Raw genomic sequence first — 2,176 nt, forward strand, 5'->3', positions numbered from 1 at the left:
GTACAGTAAGAATTTTCTCTTAACTAAAGTATCCAGTTCACCCATGTTTCATTTTCTCAGTCATAGGCCAAGGAGAGTCATATGCTTTAATGATAACTGTACTACTAAGAATGAATTAAAAGGGTTTCTGGTTCCAGATGGTGGATTGAACACACCCATTTACATTCTCTTCCTCGAAATCTTCCATTGAAAATACAGTATAGATGTAGGGAAGGAAATTTATCCAAGACTGTTAAGAGTGGGCCAGGTGTGGTGGCTCATGCCTATAATCCTAGCACTTTGGTAGGCTGAGGAGTTCGATATCAGCCTGGCCCACACGGTGAAACCCCATCTCTACTAAAAATATAAAAAATTAGCTAGGTGTGGTGGTGCATGCTTGTAATCCCAGCTACTTGGGAGGCTGAGGCAGGAGAATCTTTGAACCCAGGAGGCAGATGTTAAAGTGAGCCGAGATCGTGCCATTGCACCACTCCAGCCTGGGTGACAAGAGCAAAACTCAGTCTAAAAAAAAAAAAAGAAGAAGAAAAGAAAAAGAAAATAAGGGTGGAACAATAGGGAGGTCAGCATAACATAAATAAGTTAAGTTTTTTAAAAATCTGGAGAACAGAAATTAAATTAATTAAATTAGATATTGATAAAACAAAATTTACAGTGGAAAATGCTGTTGTCCTAATTGGCACATGGAAAGACTAGAGGAGAGGTTAAAGCCACTTTTCCTGGAATGGAAACTCAAGGAACAGGAGAGAAAAGGGGCACATGGGCAGGGGCTGGTGGTTCAGTGCCCCCCTCAAACACTGAGACTTTCCTGCTCAATTTCTGGGCCACTGGAATCAGGGTTCATGACTTCCAGACTAATACCAGGGGACTGTACCCTAATAGCAAGTGAGTGAGTGACCAGGAGAGAATGATTGTTCCTGGGATGGGCGATGCGTCTCTGCTGCAAAGCTCCCCATTTTGCAGCATGGAGGGTGTTTGGAAGAATGTGTCTCCTCCTTCAACCCCACATACCCCAAGAGAAGCTGTTCTTTTGTCATATTGACCTGTTGCTATGACCCGAATGTTTGTATCCTCCCAACATTCCTATAATGAAACCTAATCTTCAATGCAATAGTATTAAGAGGTAATGCCTTTGGGAGGTGATTAGGCCATGAGAGCCCTGTCCTATGAAAGAGGCTGAGGAAGCCTGTTCACTCCTTCCACTATCTGAAGACACAGCAAGAAGGTGCCATCTATGATGAACAAGCCTTCACCAGACACCAAATCAGCTGACTTTGATCTTAGACTTCCCAGCCTCTAGAACTGTGAGCAATATATCCTGTTGTTTATAAATTACCCAGTGTAGGGCATTTTTTAAAGGCAGCCTGAACAGAAAAAGACACCTGTGTACAGGAATAGAAATGTTCAGTATCACAGGAAAGCCAAGCCAGAGGACTGTGCTCACCAGCATGTTTTTTTATTTATAAATTTGAACGGATGGCCAAGAATCAGAGGGTCTATAAACAAAGCAATTAGCGTGAAAGAGAAGAGCTAAGATGAACAAATGTCCAGCATTTAACCCCAAGGGGAAGATTTCAGGAAACAGAAGAGAGCTGTTAGTATCCCCAGGGAAAAACAACCAAACTTCTTGAATCTATGAAACAAAAGCAGAAACATTCAGGGATTAAGTGAGTTCTTGAAAATTAAAAATATCATGACTGAATATAACAAAATAAATGTAGGATTAGAATATAAACTCTAAGAAATCTTCATAAAATGGGTCCAAAGATAAAGAAAAGGAAAAGAAACAAAATAGAAGATCCATCCATGAAGATTAATAGCCACCTCTTTTAAAGTTAGAGAGAAAAAATTCATCAAAACCTACAAAATTATCAAAGAAACTTGAACTTTCTAATTGGAAGAGTCCATCTAATGCTAAGCAGGATAAATGAAAAAGTGTAAAGAAATCTAGAATCCCAGAATAAAGAAACTGTCTTCAATATATAAGAGAGATGGAAACATATATTTATAAAGACACTAGAATCAGATTGGCATCAGATTTATCGGAAAATTAACTGCTATAAAATAATGAAGTCATGTCTTAACAGTTATGAAAGAACGTTAGTTTAAACCAGAATTCTATATCTATTCAAACTATCAGTCAGGAATGAGTGAAATAAAATTTTTAGGCATGCAGAAA

Source organism: Homo sapiens, chromosome 15 (genome assembly GCF_000001405.40).
Source record: "Homo sapiens chromosome 15, GRCh38.p14 Primary Assembly".
NCBI classification, from domain to species: Eukaryota; Metazoa; Chordata; class Mammalia; order Primates; family Hominidae; genus Homo; species Homo sapiens.